Source organism: Homo sapiens, chromosome 18 (genome assembly GCF_000001405.40).
Source record: "Homo sapiens chromosome 18, GRCh38.p14 Primary Assembly".
Taxonomy (NCBI): Eukaryota; Metazoa; Chordata; class Mammalia; order Primates; family Hominidae; genus Homo; species Homo sapiens.
The window spans coordinates 9884904-9907221 of NC_000018.10; the positions used below are offsets into that span (position 1 = coordinate 9884904).

Below are 22318 nucleotides of genomic sequence, written 5' to 3' on the forward strand. Positions count from 1 at the left end.
ATTAGATGTTTCGAGGTTTCTATTGACAATGTGGAGGTCTTATCATTTAGATTTCAACACTTTTATTTTTAGTTTTTAGAGACGGGGCCTTGCTCTGTTGCCCAGGCTAGAGTACGATGTAGTGATCACGGCTCACTGCAGTCTTGAACTCACTGGCTCAAGCAAGCCTCCCACCTCAGCTTCCCAAGTAGCTGGGACAGGCGTGTGCCACTGTGCCTGGCTAGGTTTTGTATTTTTTGTAGAGATGGGGTCTTGCTATGTTGCCTAGGCTGATCTCAAACTCCTGGGCTCAAGAAATCCTCCCACCTTGGCCTCCCAAAGTACTGAGATCACGGTGTGAGCCACCATGCCTGACCACTTTCAACACTTATATTGTTGGGGTGAAACTGAAACATATGAGGATTTGTTCAAAGTACATGTAGAGAAGGCAAAATTCCACACTGATTCTTCCTGCCTTGGACTGGATGTGTTGTGCAGAGTGAGGGTGGAAAATGAGCCAGTGGTCCTGAACTAATAAAATAAGTCTCCCTGGGGGACAGGTATTTGGCTTCCCATTCCACAGGATGGGGTAGATGTGGCTTATGGAACCAGGATTATTCACAAAGAGGTTGTTCTCCTGTATGTAAAGGCTGGAAGAGCCGTGTACTTGGATGTGTCTGCATGGGGGAGGGCACAGGCTGGGCTGGTGCGCCTGGGAGGTGGGGGAGGTGGGGAAAGAGGCTGTCTAGCAGGAGCTGAACATTTGACATTGTGGGACACTTTGCAGAGGAGGCTAACATGGTTTCGAGGAGATACTTAGGAGCTGGTCACAATGGGTGAGTCGTAAAGAGAATGTTGGAGCTGGGGGATCCTGGAGAAAGATGATAAGATGGTTGATTCACAGAACCCAGGCTGGACGGGACTTGTGGCGAGCAGTCCAGCACAGCCTCACAGTGCAGAGCATGAGCTTTGGAGCCTGCCCCCACCCTAGCTTTGTGACCTTAAGTGAGCTACATAGCTTCTCATGTGTAAACTACTCATCATAATGGTTCTGACCTCAGTGGTTTGTTGTGTTCTAGGAAATGATGCCAGTGAATGCGTAGTCCCAGCCTCAGCACAGGGGAGCCACCTTGAAGCTCTCAAATATCACTGTTGTGAATACAGAGAGGGAAAACCAACTGTAACGTGCCACCCAAATGTAAGTTTTACTCATATTTTGATGTTAGGATGGATAGCTTGGAAAAAGTTGGAGGGTACGGCCTTTACTATGAGGCATCTATGAAGGATCAGGAATGGATGTAGACAAGGAACTAGGAATGGAAAGTGTTAAAGCTGGAGCCTCTGGAAAACCAGAAATGAGGCTGGGCACTCAGGAAGAAACAAGTGAAGGTGATGCTAATGGTAAGTAGGGGAGGAAAGAGGGTTGCCTTAAAGACCTATGCAGTTAGGGAGCGGGCAGGGTGTTGAACCAAGAAGGGAAAGTTGTAGCTTAAGAACATGTATACAGAAGATACGTGTAACCACACGCTGTTTGTCCTTCTGCTGAATGAGTTTTTCAGATTAATACATCATTCATCAGACTTCATTCGTGATCTCGAAGAGTGACATCAGTCTTCCTTGGAATATGAAGAGAATTTCTTTGGTTCTTCTTTTGCATTTCTATTTGATTTATTTTATTTTATTTTATTTTATGTTTTTTGGTACAGAAAGCTCATTACTAGTCCTGTCCAGCAACGTGCCTCTCCTGGCCCTAGAGTTCTTGGAAATAGCCCAGGCCAAAGAGAAGGCCTTTCTCCCCATGGTCAGCCACACGTTCCACATGCGCACAGAGGAGTCTGATGCCTCACAGGAGGGCGATGACCTACCCAAGTCCTCAGCAAACACCAGCCATCCCAAGCAGGATGACAGCCCCAAGTCCTCAGAAGAAACCATCCAGCCCAAGGAGGGTGACATCCCCAAGGCCCCAGAAGAAACCATCCAATCCAAGAAGGAGGACCTCCCCAAGTCCTCAGAAAAAGCCATCCAGCCCAAAGAGAGTAACATCCCCAAGTCCTCAGCAAAACCCATCCAGCCCAAGCTGGGCAATATTCCCAAGGCCTCAGTGAAGCCCAGCCAGCCCAAGGAGGGTGACATCCCCAAGGCCCCAGAAGAAACCATCCAATCCAAGAAGGAGGACCTCCCCAAGTCCTCAGAAGAAGCCATCCAGCCCAAAGAGGGTGACATCCCCAAGTCCTCAGCAAAACCCATCCAGCCCAAGCTGGGCAATATTGCCAAGACCTCAGTGAAGCCCAGCCAGCCCAAGGAGAGTGATATCCCCAAGTCCCCAGAAGAAACCATCCAGCCCAAGGAGGGTGACATCCCCAAGTCCTCAGCAAAGCCCATCCAGCCCAAGCTGGGCAATATTCCCAAGGCCTCAGTGAAGCCCAGCCAGCCCAAGGAGGGTGACATCTCCAAGTCCCCAGAAGAAGCCATCCAGCCCAAGGAGGGTGACCTCCCCAAGTCCCTAGAGGAAGCCATCCAGCCCAAGGAGGGTGACATCCCCAAGTCCCCAGAAGAAGCCATCCAGCCCAAGGAGGGTGACATCCCCAAGTCCCTAGAGGAAGCCATCCAGCCTAAGGAGGGTGACATCCCCAAGTCCCCAGAAGAAACCATCCAGCCCAAGAAGGGTGACATCCCCAAGTCCCCAGAAGAAGCCATCCAGCCCAAGGAGGGTGACATTCCCAAGTCTCCAAAACAAGCCATCCAGCCCAAGGAGGGTGACATTCCCAAGTCCCTAGAGGAAGCCATCCCACCCAAGGAGATTGACATCCCCAAGTCCCCAGAAGAAACCATCCAGCCCAAGGAGGATGACAGCCCCAAGTCCCTAGAAGAAGCCACCCCATCCAAGGAGGGTGACATCCTAAAGCCTGAAGAAGAAACAATGGAGTTCCCGGAGGGGGACAAGGTGAAAGTGATCCTGAGCAAGGAGGACTTTGAGGCATCACTGAAGGAGGCCGGGGAGAGGCTGGTGGCTGTGGACTTCTCGGCCACGTGGTGTGGGCCCTGCAGGACCATCAGACCATTCTTCCATGCCCTGTCTGTGAAGCATGAGGATGTGGTGTTCCTGGAGGTGGACGCTGACAACTGTGAGGAGGTGGTGAGAGAGTGCGCCATCATGTGTGTCCCAACCTTTCAGTTTTATAAAAAAGAAGAAAAGGTGGATGAACTTTGCGGCGCCCTTAAGGAAAAACTTGAAGCAGTCATTGCAGAATTAAAGTAAACATGTATTCTGAAAACATTGCAGACAGTCAGGTGTTTATAGCTTTTGAGTTCTCTTTTATTATTTACACAAAGTGATCAGGTATAACAAAAGTGTATGTCCAAATGGCACTGCTTGTACATGATAATATTAACTCTACCCTTTTCAAAAAACAGTCCAAGCATTAAAGTACATTGCGACTGTGTTTCTGTTAGTGGGAGAGTATAAAATTAGAAATTCCCATGGTGAAGACTGCTAAGTCCCATGGTTTCCTATTTTTCAATCTTGATATGTATTTATTTTTCACTTGTCTTTGAAAATTTCACGCATTTAGTGTTTGCAGCAAGACTGAAAATTTAGATAATTTTTCTATAGAGGTAGATGACTGAAAGGTGAATGGAAACTTCTTTTCTCATGTCACACATCTTTGGGGATTCTGATAAGATATGTTTGGAAATAAGGAATTTGAAAGATTCACATCTTAGCTAACCTCCTTCTTGTGCCGGAAGTGCTACGGAGGCCTTGGGAAATTCAGTGGGTTTTCCAAGATCTGATTTGTTGGTGACGGAAATGAGATCAAGGCCGCTTCCAGATTTCAAGTCCAGGGCTCTACCTACTATAATCTACGCTCACAAAATCTCAGACAAGAGGTCGGAACTTCAGGTTTCTCGGAGGTTGAAGTCCTCTGGATCTTTGCTGCCTTTATGACATCAGTGCCCTGATGGCAGAGTTCCTGGTTCGTCTCCCTGGTAATTGAGTTCATAATACCTAGACCTTCCTCTGACTTTTTTACTTAAATTTGTTCTTATTTTCAATATTGAACAAGCCAGCCTTTAACATGACTCTACCAGCTTAGACATATAGGCCTAGACTTTAATGAATTAACCTAATCACAGTGCTACCAGAGTCTTGTTTGGACAACTTAGTGAGCCCCAGATGTCTATGAGCCCAAAGTCCCAGGTCTGAACCATAGACAGAGGCTTAGTCCAGAGTGGGTTTTTAAAAATGAATAAAACCAGCTTCATTAGGTATAATTGATATACAAAGAACAGCACATATTTAATGGAGGGAGTTGGATGAGTTTGGATGTGTTGCATATGCCCTTGATTGCCATCTCCACCATCAAAGTAATTAACACCTTCATTGCCTCCAGAAGTTTCCTTGTGTCACTGTGCTTTATTGTTATTACTATCATGGTAAAAGCACTTAACAGATCTACTCTCCTAACACATTTTTAAGTGCCCAGTACTGTACTGTTAACTAGGGGCATGATGCCGCACAGCAGATCTGTGGAACTTACTCATCGGTGTGGCTGAAATTTAACACCCATCGAACAACTCCCCGTTGCCCCTTCCCCCACCCTCTGGCAGTCACCATTCTACTTTTTGCTGGTCCAGAGTGTTTTTAAAAATTTGAATTTGTTGCCAACATTTCAAATATCAGGATTTAAAAAAAAAATCTAGATGTCTAGCTTTTCTTGAAAAATTGTAAGATCTGGCAATCCAGGCTTGCCTTACCTCAAGAAAACCAATCTAACCTTCGGGTCTGAGCGGCAGCTGCCTCCATCTGATAGGGCGCACTCTCTCCAGTCTTCTGCTGCAGAACCTGGCTGGCTTCTTCACTTAGCCAGCTGAGTTGCAATCCCTATCTTAAGTTCAAGACTGGGACTGGGCGCGGTGGCTCACACCTGTAATCCCAGCACTTTGGGAGGCCAAGGTGGGTGGATCACCTGAGGTCAGGAGTTCGAGATCAACCTGGCCAACATGGTGAAACCCTGTCTCTACTAAAAATACAAAAGTTAGCCGGGTGTGGTGGCAGGTACCTGTAATCCTAGCTACTCAGGAGGCTGAGGAGGCAGGAGAATCACTTGAACCGGGGAGGCAGAGGTTGCAGTGAGCTGAGATCGTGCCCCTGCACTCCAGCCTAGGTGATAGAGTGAGACTGTGTCTCAAAAAAAAAAAAAAAAAAAAAGAGGACCAAGACTGCCCCATCTCCTTCCATCATGTGCCTATCGTGACTCTCCTTAGTGGTACCTCAGTTATAGGCTTCATTTGCACCCTTAACAATGGCCTAACAACTGCAAACAAAATGAAATACCTTATATGCTTGGCCTTTTTTCCAAAAAAATTTGGAATTGCCTACAAAAGGATTAATGATAAAGCTAACGAACCAGAAAGAGGAATCAGAGCCATGAAGTGAGTAACGTGTCAACTCTGTGGGCTCGTATCATGGCTCTGTTAGAGCAGCAAATTTTGTTCTGAACTCTTGGCAAGTGAGAGAGAAGAGATAAATTCAATAATACCCAGATGTCATCACCCAAAATAAGCAGGCTTAGGAATTTGCAAAAGAGTCAAAGCTTTTCCTTAACTAAATTCCTGAATGACATTTCTCATCTTGGACACTACATTTGAGACTTCGATGATAAACGAAGTTCTTGACAAGATTTTTCTATAATAAATTCAGGACAGTTTTTCATGTGGATATTCTTGGTAAGACTCTTCAGTAAAAGCTGAAGCCATAATGGCAAAGGGCTTTTCAACGAGAGGATTCTAGATTCAGGTGTACTGCATTTTCATAGAAATGGGCTTTTAGTGACAGTGCATATATCCACCTGTTATTTCCCTCTGATAGAGAGACCTTCTTCTGACTTTTTCAATCAAATTTGTTCTTATTTTCCATAATGAACAAGGTTAGCTTCAACATGACTCTACCAGCCTAGACATATAGGCCTAGACTTTAACCAGTTAACCCAAACATTGTGCTACCAGAGTCCTGTTTAGATAACTTAGTGAGCCTCACAACACTTTTAAATTAATTTTGAGACATATTCTCACTCTGTTGCCCATGCTGGAGTGCAGTGGCATGACCATAGTTCACTATGGTCTTAGGCTCAAGTGATCCTCCTGCCTCAGCCTCCCAAGTAGCTGAGACTACAGATAAAGCCACCACGCTTGGTTAATTTAAAAATATATATTTTTTTGTAGAGTTGGCATCTTGCCATGTTGCCCAGGCTGGTCTCAGACTCCTAATCTCAAGAGATCCTCCCACCCAGACCTCCCAAAGTGCTGAGATTACAGGCATGAGCCACTGTACCCAGCCTCCCACAACACTTTAGACTGTGCAATTTTAAGGACCAGGGCCCCTGAAATCTAACATCAGTGACTTATACTAACTGCTTTTTCTGGTACCATAATATTAAAGACATTTCTGTCAAAGGTCCCTTTTTATATTTAGGTTACTAAGTAATGTCATTGACAATGACCTCAAAATATCCTTAAAAATTATTGTGATAGTAGATTCTTAAGATGATTTAATAGCATTCTTAACATAAGTCAAAGGAGGAGGCAAAGCGAAGTTCTATGAAGGCATTCTGTAGGGCCAAGAAAAAGCAACGCAAAGGTGTGGCTCTCTGATGATCTAGTTTGATCCAGGGATAAAATCTAAACTAGCAGATAATCAATTTATGCCCTTCAAATTACCCATTGTGAGAACCACTTCTTTTGACTGTTTGGATAATAGTTGAACAGCAGCCAGGTCAAAGTTATGTTCTCTGGCAGAAGGCTTGAGTATGGACATTTTCTTTTTCTGAGTAAGAAAGATGCATGCACTTAATAAAAAATCAACCAAGCGGGGAGTGGTGACTCACACCTGTAATCCCAGCACTTTGGGAAGCCAAGGCGGGTGGATCACCTGAGGTCAGGAGTTTGAGAGCAGCCTGGCCAACGTGGTGAAACCCCATCTCTACTAAAAATACAAAATAATTAGCCGGGCATGGTGGCAGGTGCCTGTAATCCCAGCTATTCAAGAGGCTAAGGCAGGAGAATCGCTTGAACCCAGGAGGCGGAGGTTGCAGTGAGCCAAGATCGAGCCACTTGCACTCCAGCCTGGGCAACGAGAGCAAAACTCCATCTCAAAAAAACAAAAAACAAAAAACAAAAACAAAACAAAAAATCAACCAAGAAATTGTTTTCATCTCTAATATTTAACATGAAGGACAAATAAGAAGCAGTTCTAATGAGAAGATCCCAGATAATCATATGAGCTGTGAACAATGATAATCTAACCAGAGCCTTAAGAATCAATGGAAAATCTGTTAGAATTAACGAGAAAACTCAACAAAGTGGCAGTAATTGAAGTAATATCTAAAAATCAACAGCTTCCATGTGATTCTGTGGCAAATAATTGGGAATCTGTGAAAAAAAAGTCTTATTCACAATAGCGACAAAATAAAATGTCTAGCAATAGTCCTAATGAGAAGTAAGGATGATTAAGAGTAAAATAAAACATTCTGAGATGTATATAAGTAGGTTTGAATAAAGTGAGACAGTCCATTTTTCTCATTGGAGAAAAGACTGAAAGATGTTGATGCTTTCCACTTAATTAGTAGACCCTGTAATTCCAGCCAATATCTCAATGGGATATTTGATAGAACTTAACAAAATATTTAAAACTTCACTGAGAATAATAGACAAGAATAGGCAGGAAAAGTCTCAAATGAGAAGTAATGACGAGATATGTGCCCTATCAGAGAGTTACATGTGTAGTTGGTACATTAATTATAAAACAATGATATTAATGAAGGAAAAAGAGAGCAATGAAACATAATAGTAAGCAAAACCACACATTGGCATGTAAGTAGTAATATATGACAAGGAAACATTTCAATTTGATGGACAGTGAGTGGATTTTTTTCAAAAAATTGGCAAAATTTTAATATTTGAGGGGAAAAATCAATGTATATCCCAATCCCACACCAGACACTAAAATAAATATAAGCTGAATTAAATGATAAAAAACAAAATATGGAATGATTAAAAAATAGAAGAAAATTTAGCTGAAGTTTTTTTGTTTTGTTTTATTTTTGTTTTTGTTTTTTTGAGACAGAGTCTTGCTCTGTCGCCCAGGCTGGAGTGCAGTGGTGCAATCTCCGCTCACTGCAAGCTCCGCCTCCTGGGTTCAGGCCATTCTCCTGCCTCAGCCTCCAGAGTAGCTGGGACTACAGGCACCCACCACCACACCCGGCTAGTTTTTTGTATTTTTAATAGAGACGGGGTTTCACTGTGTTAGCCAGGATGGCCTTGATCTCCTGACCTCGTGATCCGCCTGCCTCAGCCTCCCAAAGTGCTGGGACTATAGGCGTGAGCCACCACGCCCAGCCAGTTGAAGTTTTTAAAAATGTTTTCGAGACGGGGTCTCGCTCTGTTACCCAGACTGGAGTGCAGAGGCGTGATCACAGCTCCCTGCAGCCTTGAGTTCCTGAGCTCAGGTGATCCTCCCAACTCAGCCTCCCAGGTAGCTGGGACTACAGGCTTGCAACACCATGCCTAGTTAATGTTTAATTTAAAAAAATTTTTTGTACAGACGGAGTCTCACTGTTGCCCAGGCTGGTCTTGAACTCCTGGCCTCATGCAGTTCTCCCACCTTGGCCTCCCAAAGCACCGGGATTACAGGCATGAACCACCGCACCTGGCCAAACATGTATGTGATTCATGGATGGAGAAAGGATTTTCTAGACACAATTGCAATTAAAGAAGTAGATTTGAACATATAAAACAATTCAACATTTTTTTTTTTGAGATGGAGTCTTGCTCTGTTGCCCAGGCTGGAGTGCAATGGCGCGATCTTGGCTCTCTGCAACCTCTGCCTCCTGGGTTCAAGTGCTTCTCCTGCCTACTCCCGAGTAGCTGGGATTACAGGCACCCACCACCATGCCCAGCTAATTTTTGTATTTTTTAGTAGACATGGGGTTTCACCATGTCAGTCAGGCTGGTCTTGAACTCCTGACCTCAGGTGATCCGCCCACCTCAGCCTCCCAAAGTGCTGGGATTACAGGCGTGAGCCACCATGCCCGACCCCAACAATTCAATTTTTTAAATAAAAAATATAAACAAAATTGACAGGAAACAGAAAAAGGAAATAATATTTGCCAAATGTACAACATTGGATTTAATACATGTACTATAAAAGTACTCTTACAAATCAGTAAGAAAAACAGAATATTCTCATAAAAATAGGCAAAAGACATAGTTCACATTAGAATAAAAACAAGTTTGTAATAAAAATAAAAATAAAGCCGGGTATGGCAACAGCTCAGGCCTGTAATCCCAGCACTTTGGGAGGCCGAGGCGGGTGGATCACTTGAGGTTAGGAGTTCGAGGCCAACATGGCGAAACCCCTTCTCTACTAAAAATACAAAACTTAGCTGGGCGTAGTGGAGGTAGTGGAGCATGGCTGTAATCCCAGCTGCTCCAGAGGCTGAGGCATGAGAATCACTTGAACCCAGGAGGCGGAGGTTTCAGTGAGCTGAGATCATGCCACTGCACTCCAGCCTGGGTGACAGAGTGAGCTCCTGTCTCAAATATAAAAATAAAAAATGTTCACTAATAGGGAATAAATAGGAAAATGTAAACAAAAGTCAATGAGATTTTGATAGTAGGGATGTAGGGAAACAGTTACTCATGTACTGCCACTGAGAGTTAAGACTGCTATAAGTCCTTCTGGAACATAGCGGTATGTTACGGGGTAGAAAGATGCAGAACTTTGCAAACTAGCTTGTGTATTTGTCTGCTCAGGCTGCCATAGCAAAATACCACAGAAAGGATGGCTTAAACAGCAGACATTTACTTCTCACAGTTCCAGGGCCTAGAAGTCTGAGATCAAGGTGTTGGCCATTTTCACTTCCTGTGAGGTGTCATCAGCAGCACAAGATCAGACATAGCCAGGTCTACACAGGCTTGCGTCTTTCCACAAGTTCACTTTATTGATGCTTACTCAATTAGAAAAGTCATGAGCCAGGCGTAATGTTGAGATGCCTGTAATCTCAGGAATTTGGGAGGCAGAGGTGGGAGGATCACTTGAGGCCTGGACAACATAGTGAGATTCTCTTCTCTAAAAGAAAATAAAACAGCCAGTCACGGTGGCTCACGCCTGTAATCCCAGCTACTTGGGACACTGAAGTAGGAAGATCACTTGAGCCCAAGAGTTTGAGGTAATGGTGAGCCATGGTCTTGCCACTGCCCTCCAGCCTGGGTGACAGGCAAGACTCTGACTCTAATAATAATAATAGTAGTAATAATAATAATAATAATAATAATAATAATAAAATGGTTTCCTATGTGCTGCACCCTGAGAGGAGTCCTCAGTCCAGCCTGTGAGCCTCATCTTAAGCAGTTATGGGTTGAAATGTGTCCCCCTGAAATTCATATATTGAAGCCTCAACCCCAGTGGGTGGGGCCACACAGTCTGTGCAGTCCAAGTTCCATCCGAGTCCAAGTTCCAAGCTAGGCTTGGGTGGGTCCATCTCTGTTGAGGTCTCTCCACTAGTATGAATTGTGGCTATGCCTTTGTATTTTTCTGATGATCCAGAGCATAACTATCAGAAGAAATACACACATGTCTATGACAGAATCATTTCTCAGTGAGTTGCCCAGCCCCATAAGGTGCTCCCTCCTGCAGGCGCACCTTCCCACTGCCCGCCTCGTCTGCAGGCTGCTTCTTTTCCACCGCTAGGACTATTTCAGATTATGGTGTGCAGCGTCCTCACTTCATTCGTCTTCTCTCAACTTGTCCCAGCAGGCCTACCAGGGATAAGAAAATGGACTCATTGCTGAGTCATTTCCAGGCCTCCAGCCTGCTGAATTCTAGTGAGTGGTGCCTCCCAAATGGGAGATATGGGGGTTACCTGTTACCCTCTTCTCGATGGGCTGGCCAGAGTTCTGAATTTCATTTGCTGTATGGAGCGCCTTCCTCCTTCCTGTCAGTGGCTAGCTCCTCCAAATTCACTGTGAAAAGGCCGGATGCAGTGGGTCACTCCTGTAATCCTAGCACTTTGGGAGGCTAAGGTGTGTGGATCACCTGAGGTCAGGAGTTCCAGACCAGCCTGGCCAACATGGTGAAACCCTGTCTTTACTAAAAATACAAAAATTAGCTGGGCCTGGTGGCACATGCCTGTAATCCCAGCTACTCGGGAGGCTAAGGCAGGAAAATCATTTGAACATGGGAGGCAGAGGTTGCAGTGAGCTGAGATAGCGTCACTGCACTCTAGCCTGGGCAACAGAGAGAGACTCCGTGTTTAAAAAAAAAAAAAATTCACTGAGAAATGAAAACAAGAAAATAAAAAGCAGGTCAAAATACTGAAAACAGAATTATCTCTATTTTATTTTAATTGGACAAAAGGCACAATGTGTTGCCATTGGCTATCACTGTGTGAGGATTTTTTTTTTTTTTTTTTTTTTTTGAGATGGAGTCTCACTCGTTGCCCAGGCTGGAGTGCAGTGGTGCAATCTCGGCTCACTGCAAGCTCCGCCTTCCGGGTTCACGCCATTCTCCTGCCTCAGCCTCGCGAGTAGCTGGGACTACAGGCACGTGCCACCACGCCCGGCTAACTTTTTGTACTTTTAGTAGAGACGGGGTTTCACCGTGTTAGCCAGGATGGTCTTGATCTCCTGACCTCCTGATCCGCCCGCCTCGGCCTCCCAAAGTGCTGGGATTACAGGCGTGAGTCACCGCGACCAGCCTGTGTGAGGATATTTTTTTTACCATCATTCTCATTTTGTTTTTTCCTAATTATATAACAAAAACAAAAAACAATCAACTGAATACTTTGAAGACTCCAACTGTTTAGATACTGCCAGGGAACCCAAACAACTACTAGAAAATACAAAATCTGGGAAGCCTGAGCAATGGGGAATAGGTGAATGGCCCAAGCTCAAGGGTGTTCTGGCAGAGCCTCCGAATGCTGGCATTATGCAGATGTTCTGTATTCTAGTTGTGCATTTTGGGCCTTTCAGGCTTCAGATTACAAATGGCCCAAGAACAGACCAAATCGGAAGTTATTCTGTTTGGAGATGAACTACCTAAGTGATCATGGGTGTTATGGGATAGGTGATACATTCATTTTCTCCGTGCAACTGACAAAAGGCCAACTCAAACCTGCTCCAGCAAAAAGGGAGAGGGTATTGGATCTTGAAAATGGAAATTCTAAGGAGATCAATGACTTTAGGCAGATTCAGGGATTCAGACAACATCAGAACATGGTTTTCTACCCTTAGCTCTGCTGTTCATCTTGATTTTATCATCAGTTGCTTCCGTGGCTCATAATCGCAGATAAAAAGGTGAGCCTGTTTCCTAATAACGCCAACAAAAGTTCCAGGAAAGACTCTGATTGGCTGCATCATGTGCCAATCCCTGAACCACTCTGCGTATTTGGAAGAGTTGAAGGACTCTGATTGGTCAGGCTTGGTCACTTGTGCACACTCAAAGCAGGGTCAGGCCCATCAAGCCTTAGGAGCTGAGTGGATTAACGTGGAAAGTGGGAGGAAGGAAAGGCTGCCTGCAATCAGGCACATAGATTTCAAGGGATGGCATTTGAGCACTCAACATTTGACTAAGAGTCCACATTAAGAATATGGAGAATATGGTCAGAATCACCCTTATCCCACTTATAAATCCCCATGAAATATCAAACCCAATAAGAAGAGGTTGTACTTTTATCAAGTTCCTTTTAAACGCACCTTCTCATTTCACTTTCATCCTGATTTCACATTCAATCCGATTTCCTTGAATCTGTCTGTCCAGCCTTAAAACTAAATAGCTATCTGTGCCTTATTCAAATGACAAATTATCTTATAATAGTAACTTTTGCTAACGTTGGCATATGGGATATAAATCAAAAGAGAATATGAAACCTGATGAGTGAATGCTTAGAAAGATCCAAAGGATGGCTGGGTGCGGTGGCTCACTCCTGTAATCCCAGCACTTTGGGAGGCCGCGGCAGGCAGATCACGAGGTCAGGAGTTCGAGACTAGCTTGGCCAAGAGACTAGCCTGGCCAACATGGTGAAACTCTGTCTCTACTAAAAATACAAAAATTAGCCGGGCGTGGGGGCAGCACCTGTAATCCCAGCTACTCAGGAGGTAGAGGCACGAGAATTGCTTGAACCTGGGAGGCCGAGGTTGCAGTGAGCTGAGATTGTGCCATTGCACTCCAGCCTGGGCAACACAATGAGACTTGGTCTCAGAAAAAAAGAAGAAAAGAAAGAAAGATGCAAAGGATGTAAACAGGGTGAGTCAGTTCTGGGGTCTGTTCTTCTAAGCGATGCTTTTGAAACATGTTTTTCTCTAAATATGAACAATCTGGTTCTTCATAGACTATGCCTTCAGTGTTCAACACTTGTGTCTTTTTGAGACTCAAATGGTATTTCAAATAAATTATATTCAGCAAATACTAGAAAGTTATGGTATGTTGTTACTTAGAATTCTATCTTGATTTTTGGCAGATTTTTAAGTTTCCCAGAACTTGTAAGGGAACTGTGAAATGCTACACTCTATGGAGATAAAAGTTAACTAAAAAACAAAGCAAACCAAGAGATAAAAGGAAAAGTTAGGCTGCAAGTTTTGAAATAATAATGGTACTTGAACCATGAGATCCTTTAATACCCACAATGAAAATAGACACCCAGTGCAACAATGACAAATATTTGGATGTAGACACCACAGAGTCAGATAAAACCCAAGGCTGTAGCTTAAAGATTTAAGGAAATAAAAAATTTCAGATTCCAGGATGGAAAAAAGATAATTTATATGAAAATGAAGAAGTTGATGATAGAAAATGGTAGATAGGAAGAAGTTAGGGCCAGTAACGACAGGCAGTAGTTGAAATGAAGAAATGTGGATTGTGAAAATGAAAAGAAAATGTGATCGTTCTACTACGTATTGATTTGAAGTGTATATTACTTTTACACACACAAGTTGAGGGTCATCTTTGTTTAGGTTAAGATGGTAGTTTCAAGTAAGAGGGAGATATGGCATGGGGAAGGACAGGGAAGAGTAAGGTTGTCCCTGTACATTACGTTTCTGCTGACCTTAATGCTGTTTTCGCGAATTCCTGGTTTAGAAAACTAAAAGTTCTCTGATCTCTGGAGAGGCACCTTTCTGGTAGGTCTTGAGAAAAGGTGAAAAAAAAAAAAATGCTGCTTCTCTCTCCCTGCTCTATGAAAGCCACAAAACGTTGGTGTTTAAAAGACAAAGCTAAATGCAACTCTAATGACTCATAGATCAATATCTTTCACTGACCTTAGGAAGATACACGAGGAAGTCACCAGTTAGCTAATGATTCTCAGTTTAGAAAGGGCAGAGGAGGCTAGCCACCTCCCAGAGAAGGCTTTAAGGAAGACTTCCTTTAAGTCATACCAGTTAACATGGCTAGACGGTAATATATTGTCATGCTATCAGAAGCAGCTGCGTAACTGGAATTTGAGAGCACTCAACCTTAATGGATTTTTTTTTTTTTGACAGAGTCTTGCTCTGTCACCCAGGCTGGAGTGCAGTGGCATGATCATAGCTCACTGCAGCCTCAATCACCTGGGCTCCAGCGAACCTCCCACCTCGGCCTCTAGAGTAGCTGGGACTGTAGGTGCACACCACCATATATGGCTAATTTTAAAAAATTTTTAGTGGAGATGAGGTCTCACTATGTTGCTCAGGCTGGTCTCGAACCCTTGAGATAAAATGATCCCCCTGCACTGGCCTCCCAAAGTGCTGGGATTATAAACATCAGCCACCACACCAGTCTGAATTTTTTTTTGAGACAGGGTCTCACTCTGTTGCCCAGGCTGAAGTGCAGTGGCATGATCATGGCTCATTGCAGCCTCAACCTCCCAGACTCAAGTGATCCTCTTGCCTCAGCCTCTCAAGTAGCTGGGACTACAGGTGTGTGCCAGTATGCCCAGCTATTTTTTTTTTTTTTTTAAAGAAGAGGTCTCACTATGTTTTTGAGGCTAGTCTCAAACTCCTGGGTTCAAGTGATCCTCCACCTTAGCCTCCCAAAGTGCTGGGATTACAGGTGTGAGTCACTTTGCCCAGCCCAGTAATGGATATTGATGATTCCCACCCTATGTTCATTCCCCTAATTACTTTGATTTCTTTACTGTGAGGTTAAAATTACTCATACTTACTTTCAAATAATCTCCATTTGTTTTGGCATTTGAAGGTTTTTAAAAAAGTATTTATAAATCCAGATTATAATCCTATTTCATTTTGGGTTGCTATTTTTGTATATGTCAGACATAAACATGCTAAAATAACATTGGTAGTTACATAAATTGGATACCGGTGGTCAACATTCATCCTCTTCAGGCCTACCTATGGCACTTATTCTTTCCTTACGTGCTTAAAAAATAAAAGACCAAGATTTATTATGTGTGGTTCAGATGCTACTCGTGTTTATTCTTGATACTCAGATTGAAGACAGAAAGATCAATGTGTGTCAGGGAATCGACTGCTACAGCAATGAGCCCTATTTGCAGCCCATAGACAAACGGTTTCAAATGCAATGAATATTCAGAGTTCCCAGGTGTGCTCTAGGAAAACTGTTTGCAGGTGAATACAAAACTGAAAACTCCTCTATTTTGAATTAAAACTAAGAAAGTATCATCTAATTCTTAGGATTCTTCTGTGCTTTATTGACTTGCTTAAATATGAGGTCTTGATAACCCTAGTTTTATCTCCCTGAATGAAGATTACATTCCTTTTTAACAATTCAAGGGAAACACATCCAAATCTCCCCTCTCCAGAAAGAACAGTGGTTGAGCTGAATAGCAAAGGAATGGGGAGTTCCTTAAGGTCAGGGGGCTGAGAGTAGGGGTCCCTCTCATCCCAGGCAGCAAAGGAAGCAAAAGAAACGGAAAATGAAGTAGTGAGGTCGAGGCGCAAGAAACCATTAGGGGACTTCAGAAGTTGCCAGAACAATAGGGGTATCAGTGGGTTTGAGTCAGAATGTGGTTGCTGGGTGTGGAGATGAGATGGGCGGGTGTGAGATGACATAGGGAAGATATGGGAAGTAGAGGAGGTGTGACCTGGGACCACCACAGATGAATGTGCTGAGGAGCGGTGCAGAGGTGGGTCATCCTGGCTTCAAGGGCCTCGTTGGACCAGTTCTGCTCCTCCCCGTATCTGAGCATGTGCATGTCACCTAGCAACACACTTGCTATTTCTTTTCTAAGTAGATCATTGAACTTCACCACACATCTAAAGTAGTATTGCTTATGAAATTTTCAGAAACTGGATAGCTGTCACTAGATCATGCTTACCAATATCATTGTAAATTAGGTAATATGATGGGTGGCAAAAAGTCCCTCTGAAATACAGGCTTTTTAATCCCATAATGGGTCTTGCTGTTGCTTGATAAAAGACAAAAACAAAGTTTACTAATGAGTGGGAAAATATTGACCATTTGGATCTGAGCCTGCCTTTGGCATCCTTTGCACTTAAATTTTGATACTTTTCTACCCTATTACTTTGTTTACAAAAAGGGAGAAATGCGAACTCAAGTATCTAGGGATGAAATACCATGTTATCCAGAATTTGTTTTAAAAATACTGAGGCAGGCTGGGCACAGTGGCTCATGTCTGTAATTTCAGCTCTCTGGGAGGCCAAAGTGGGAGGATGGCTTGAGGCCAAGGAGTTCAAGCCTGCAGTGAGCTATGATTGCACCGCTGCACTCCATCCTGGGTGACAGAGCTGAGCCAGTCTCTCTCTAAAAAAAAAAAAAAAAGATACCTAGAGTTGCACAGTAATCATTGGGAAATTTATGCACAATTTAGGCAGAATATTATTTTTCACGATGTCTCATTTTTATAAGAGAATTAGAAACAGGAAATAATTTTCACTTTATATAAAACAACCTGTTGACTGAATGTTTTTTATGTTTTCAACTAGTGGTAGTTCTATCACATAGGTACTATTTTTTGAATTTTATTTTTCATTTTTTATTTTTTTGTGAGATGGAGTTTTGCTCTTGTCACTCAGGCTGGAGTGCAGCACAATCTTGGTTCATTGCAACCTCCCCCTCCCGGGTTCAAGCAATTCTCCTGCCTCAGCCTCCCGAGTAGCTGGGATTACAGGTACCCACCACCATGCCCAGGTAATTTTTTGGTATTTTTAGTAGAGATGGGTTTTTGCCATGTTAGCCAGGCTGGTCTCGAACCCCTGACCTCAGGTGATCCGCCCGCCTTGGCTTCCCAAAGTGCCGGGATTACAGGCATGAGCCACTGAACCTGGCTAGAAATGTTATTTTAAAAGTACCTAGGCCGGATGGCAGAAATGTTATTTAAAAAGTACCTAGGCAGGGCTTGGTGGCTCATGCCTGTAATCCCAGCACTTTGGGAGGCCGAGGCGGATGAATCACCTGAGGTCAGGAGTTCGAGACCGGCCTGGCCAACATGGTGAAACCCCATCTCTACTAAAAATACCAAAAGCTGGGCGTGGTGGCAGGCTCCTGTAATCCCAGCTACTCTAGAGACTAAGGCAGGTGAATCGCTTGGACCAGGGAGGCGGAGGTTGCAGTGAGCCCAGATTGCGCCATCGCACTCCAGCCTGGGCAACAAGAGCAAAACTCTGTCTCACACACACACAAAAATAGCTGGGCCTGTGGCGCGAGCCTGTAATCCCAGCTACTCAGGAAGCTGAGGCAGGAGAATCGTTTCAGCCCGGGAGGTTGTGGTGAGCTGAGATCGAGCCATTGCACTCCAGTCTGGGCAACAGAGTGAGACCATGTCTCATAAATAAATAAATAAATAAATAAACAAATAACATTTATGTGCCTTAGGTTCTTTGTCAGAGATAATTTTAACCAAGTCATTAAACTGATGTGAAGATTATTAATACCAACTGTAGAGGGTTGAATGGTAGCCCCAAAGACATCAGGGTCTAGTACTATAAACCTGTAAATGTTACTTCATTTGGAAAAGGGCCTTTGCAGATGTGATTAAGTTAAGGCTCTTGAGATGAGGAGATAATCCTGGATTATCTGGGTGATCCCCAAATGCCATCACAAGTGTCCATAGACAAGAGACGTAGGAGATTCAACACACGCGAAGAAGAAGGCAGCGTGAAGACGGAAGCAGCAGCTGGAGCCATGCGGCCACAAATCAAGGCTCCCTGCCAGCAGCCGCCAGAGGCGAAGAACAGATTCTCCCCTGGAGCTTCCCAAGGGATCACAGCTCCGTCAACACCTTGATTTTGGACTTCTGGCCTCCAGAGCTGTGAGAAAATACCTGTTGTTTTAAGCCACCCAGTTTGTGATAATTTGTTACGGCAGCCATTAAGAAATGAATGCACCAGTGAATAAAACATTTTTGCAAAAGGTGTTTAAATGCAAGATAGCAATGAGGAATCAGCGTTAGGATATACTTAAAGGAAATGTGTTCCTGTGTATGGAATAAGCATTTCTAGTATGTTTTCTTCTTCTTCTTCTTCTTTTCTTTTTTTTTTAATCAAGCCTTCTTTTTTTTAAAATTATTTTTAATTGACAAATGATAATTGTGAGATGCCATTTCACGCCAGTCAGGATGGTGATTATTAAAAAGTCAAGAAACAATAGATGCTGGTGAGGCTGTGGAGAAATAGGAACGTTTTTACACTGTTAATGGGAATGTAAATTAGTTCAACCATTGTGGAAGACAGTGTGGCGATTCCTCAGGGATCTAGAACTAGGAATACCATTTGACCCAGCAATCCCATTACTGGGTGGTATATACCCAAAGGATTATAAATCATTCTACTATAAAGACTCATGCACATGTATGTCTATTGCAGCACTATTTACAATAGCAAAGACATAGAACCAACCCAAATGCCCATCAATGATAGGCTGGATAAGGAAAATGTGGCACATATACACCATGGAATACTATGCAGCCATAAAAAGGAATGGAATTGTGTCCTTTTCAGGGACATGGATGAAGCTGGAAGCCATCATCCTCAGCAAACTAACACAGGAACAGAAAACCAAACACTGCATGTTCTCACTCGTAAGTGGGAGTTGAACAATGAGAACACATGGACACAGTGAGGGGAACAACACACATGGGGCCTGTTGGGGGTGGAGGCGAGGGAAGGGAGAACATCAGGACAAATAGCTAATGCATGCAGGGCTTAAAACATATGGCACATGTATACTTATGTAACAAACCAACATGTTCTGTGCATGTACCCCGGAACTTAAAGTAAAACAAAAAAAAAAAAAAAAAAAAGGGAAAAAAAATTTACATTCCCACCAGCAGTGTACAATGATTCCATTTTTTCCACATCTTCACCAGCATTTGTTATTGCTTGTTTTGTGGCTACAAGTCATTTTAACTGTGGTGGAAAAAAAATGATCAAACTTTTTTTTTCTTTTTTAATTATTATTATTTTTTGAGAGACAGATTCTCACTCTTGTTGCCCAGGCTGGAGTGCAGTGGCATGATCTCTGCTCACTGCAACTTCTGCCTCCCAGGTTCAAGCGATTCTCCTGACTCAGCTTCTCCAGTAGCTGGGATTACAAGCGTGTGACACCATGCCTAGCTAATTTTTGTATTTTTAGTAGAGACGAGGTTCCCCCATGTTGGCCAAGCTGGTCTTAAACTCCTGACCTCAAGTGATCTGCCTTCCTTGGCCGCCCAAAGTGCTGGGATTACAGGCTTGAGCCACACCCGGCCTTTTAATTATTTTTAGTTGACAAATGATAATTGTGTATATTTATTGGGTACAATGTGATTTTTTGATATATGTATACATTTTTAAAAAGATTCAATCAAGCTAATCAACCCATGCATCACCTCAACAACTTACCATTTTTTTGTCATAAGAACATTAAAAATCTATTCTTTTAGCAATTTTGAAATATGCAATACATTGTTATTAACCGTGGTTACCATGCAGTACAATAGATCACTGAAACGTATTTTTCTAGTCCAACCGAAACTTTGTACACTTTGGTCAACATCTTCCCTTTCCCTACCCCTCTCCTTCCCTGCAGCCTCTGTTTCTACGAGTTCCCTTGCTGAGTTCCCAGACCTAAGCCAATTTTTTCACATTTGGAGCTCATGGACTGAAGAGATGGCCAAGTCCCCAGGAAGAAGTAGGCAGCAACACCACGGCTAAGAAAAACCATGATGATTCCCCCAGGACTGTCCCAAAGGGACCTATGGCCATTTACTTGGGTCACTATATGTTGGGGAGGAGGGAACACCCAGACCTTGCAAAGATTGTTGGACACGAGGACTTAGTTGACATGAATACCTCGAGATCTGAAATGTCATCTTGCGTGTGTCCCTTCCCCGTCCCACCTTAGAGCCCTGGCTAAAGTAATATGTTTTATATGTGTACAATCAGCCCCTCGGTTGCCACGCATCTACTTAGTGGTCATTTTCTTGGGCCCTGGCTGCTGAAATAACACCTTTGAGTTCGTGGTGTGTGGAGTAGGAGCTATCACATTAGGGAAGGCTAAGTGGGAGTCAAAGCTGCCCCCACCCCAGGACCAAAATAGTAAATCAAAGCACTATTGCATCACAGGGTTTAATGCCTATTAGAGCTTGAAAGGATACAAGGTGGTGGTCCCTCCTATCATGTCTCTATTTGCTCAGCCAGTCTGATGATTGCAATGATCTGATCGTAGAATACCACAAGCCTAACCAAGCTGCGGCCCTGCTACAGCTGCCAAACAGAGCAGTATTGTTGCTAAAGCAGATTATTAAAACCTCAGGTACATGTTATGTGGCCACTGATTTGGCAAATGTGCTCTTTTCTATTCTGAAGAGCAGCAGTTTGTATTCATGTGGAACGGACAACAGCATTAATTTACTGTCTTGCTTCAGGGCGTTGTGAACTTTTCTACCCTCTGTCATCATATAGTATGAAGAAACCCAGACAGTCTGGACATCCTGTGGAACATTGCAGTGATCCATTACATGGGTGACATCATGCTGATTGGGCAGCACAAACAAGAGGTAGCCAGCATTCGGGAGGTCTTGTTAGGACAGAGACCTGCCACTTCAGGAAAGTTTTCAGGGGTCCAATAATCAGAAGTATGCCGGATACTTCCTCCAAATTAAAAGATACATTCTTGCTCTTGCATCTCCTGCCACAAAGAAGGAAACACAGTGCCCAGTGGGACACCTGGACCGAAGCTGTATTCCTAGCATGGAATGTGGTGAGCAAAGACAGATGAGAAAAACTACAGGAGAAGGAGTTGGAGGGAGCTAGCAATGGGGTCTAAGGTTGATTTAAACCCACCGCCAAAAAGAACAGGTCCATCGTAAGTCTGAAACTGGTAAAATAGTGTCTGAGGAGTTCAGAGCACAGACTACAGACAAGAGAATTAAAAATACACTGTTTTAAAGGGCTAGTCTAGGAAACACATAGCTTCTGGGGAAGAAAAAGCAAAGCAAAAAAACGAAGGGAATTTGTCAGTATCAAAAACTACATACACTCTTACCTTTTGAACTACAAGTCCCATTTCTAGGAAACTACTCTTTAGAAATACCTCCAACATATGAAAATACGTATGCACAAGGCTATTTATTGCTCACCACAAAGACTTGCAGTGGAGTGGGCATGAGACAGGAATATTTTCACCTTGCATTCATCTACTGAACTGACCAATCTATAAACCAAGCTTGGGCTCCTTCCTCTTTTTCCACCCAGTTGTACAGAACCCTCCATATGGCCACGGGTGTGAGCCTGAGGTAGGAAGCTGGGGTAACCACTGTGGGTGATATAGAGTTTGGGCAACTTGCTCATTGATTGTTAATTGCAAGATATTCGAGACAGCCTAAACGCCTATGCATGGGAAAGTGGTTGAATAACATCCACTGAGTGGAGTACTATGCAGCTGTAAGAACAAGGAAGTGCTCTATGACCTGTTACAGAGTGAAACTAGTATAACTAGCAAATATCCCATGTCTAGGGTGTATTAAGTGAAGAAAGCAAAGCACAAAAATGGCATAATATTCTACCCTTCAACTAAAAATGAGCATTATACAGCTTAGGCAACATGGGGAGACCCGTCTCTGCAAAAAAATTAAAAAGTTAGCCTGGCGTGGTGGCACATCCCTGCAGTTCCAGCTACTTGGGGGGCCGAGACAGGAGGAACGCTTGAGCTCAGGAGGTTGAGGCTGCAGTGAGCTGTGTTCATGTGTCTGCACTCCAGCCGGGCAACAGAGTGAGACCTTGTCTCAAAAACAAAAGTGCATTATGTAAGAAAATATACGTACATCTGCTCGTTTGTGCCAAACAGTAAATTAGGAGCTGAAATTGGTTACCTACAGGTGTTGGGTGATAA

The 22318-nt window shown here is 43.5% G+C and overlaps 1 protein-coding gene and 1 long non-coding RNA gene across 3 annotated transcripts, besides 1 other annotated feature; one reads left to right on the forward strand and one right to left on the reverse strand.

Annotated features, from left to right (window-relative positions):
• Positions 1 to 1069: 1069 nt before the first annotated feature.
• On the forward strand, positions 1070 to 4372 carry TXNDC2 (thioredoxin domain containing 2). 2 transcript variants are annotated; one of them, NM_001098529.2, is made up of 2 exons: positions 1070 to 1380; positions 1686 to 4372. In NM_001098529.2, the coding sequence occupies exons 1-2, from the start codon at positions 1272 to 1274 to the stop codon at positions 3236 to 3238; spliced, it is 1662 nt and encodes a 553-aa protein (NP_001091999.1). In that variant the 5' UTR covers positions 1070 to 1271; the 3' UTR covers positions 3239 to 4372. The 2 variants fall into 2 exon arrangements, with proteins under 2 accessions (NP_001091999.1, NP_115619.4); NM_032243.6 differs by having other exon boundaries at positions 1070 to 1177.
• A 5958-nt stretch (positions 4373 to 10330) lies between these two features.
• Positions 10331 to 11830, reverse strand: LOC105371982 (uncharacterized). Its single transcript, XR_007066282.1, has 4 exons — positions 11756 to 11830; positions 10899 to 10998; positions 10679 to 10794; positions 10331 to 10589 (listed from the first exon to the last, which is right to left on the reverse strand). It is a non-coding gene; the product is annotated as an uncharacterized LOC105371982 (long non-coding RNA).
• Positions 10669 to 10963: an enhancer, noted in NCBI's record as "tiled region #4522; HepG2 Activating non-DNase unmatched - State 7:EnhWF, and K562 Activating DNase matched - State 5:Enh". NCBI's record gives its function as "activates a minimal TATA promoter and a strong SV40 promoter by Sharpr-MPRA in HepG2 and K562 cells {active_cell/tissue: HepG2 | K562}" and the evidence as "EXISTENCE:reporter gene assay evidence [ECO:0000049][PMID:27701403]".
• Positions 11831 to 22318: the final 10488 nt, after the last annotated feature.

Coding starts and splice junctions, on each gene's coding strand:
- TXNDC2 (NM_001098529.2), top strand. CDS start 1,272: ATGGATGTAGACAAGGAACTAGGAATGGAAAGTGTTAAAGCTGGAGCC. Junction 1,381..1,685: donor AAGTGAAGGTGATGCTAATG/GTAAGTAGGGGA, acceptor TTTTTGGTACAG/AAAGCTCATTACTAGTCCTG.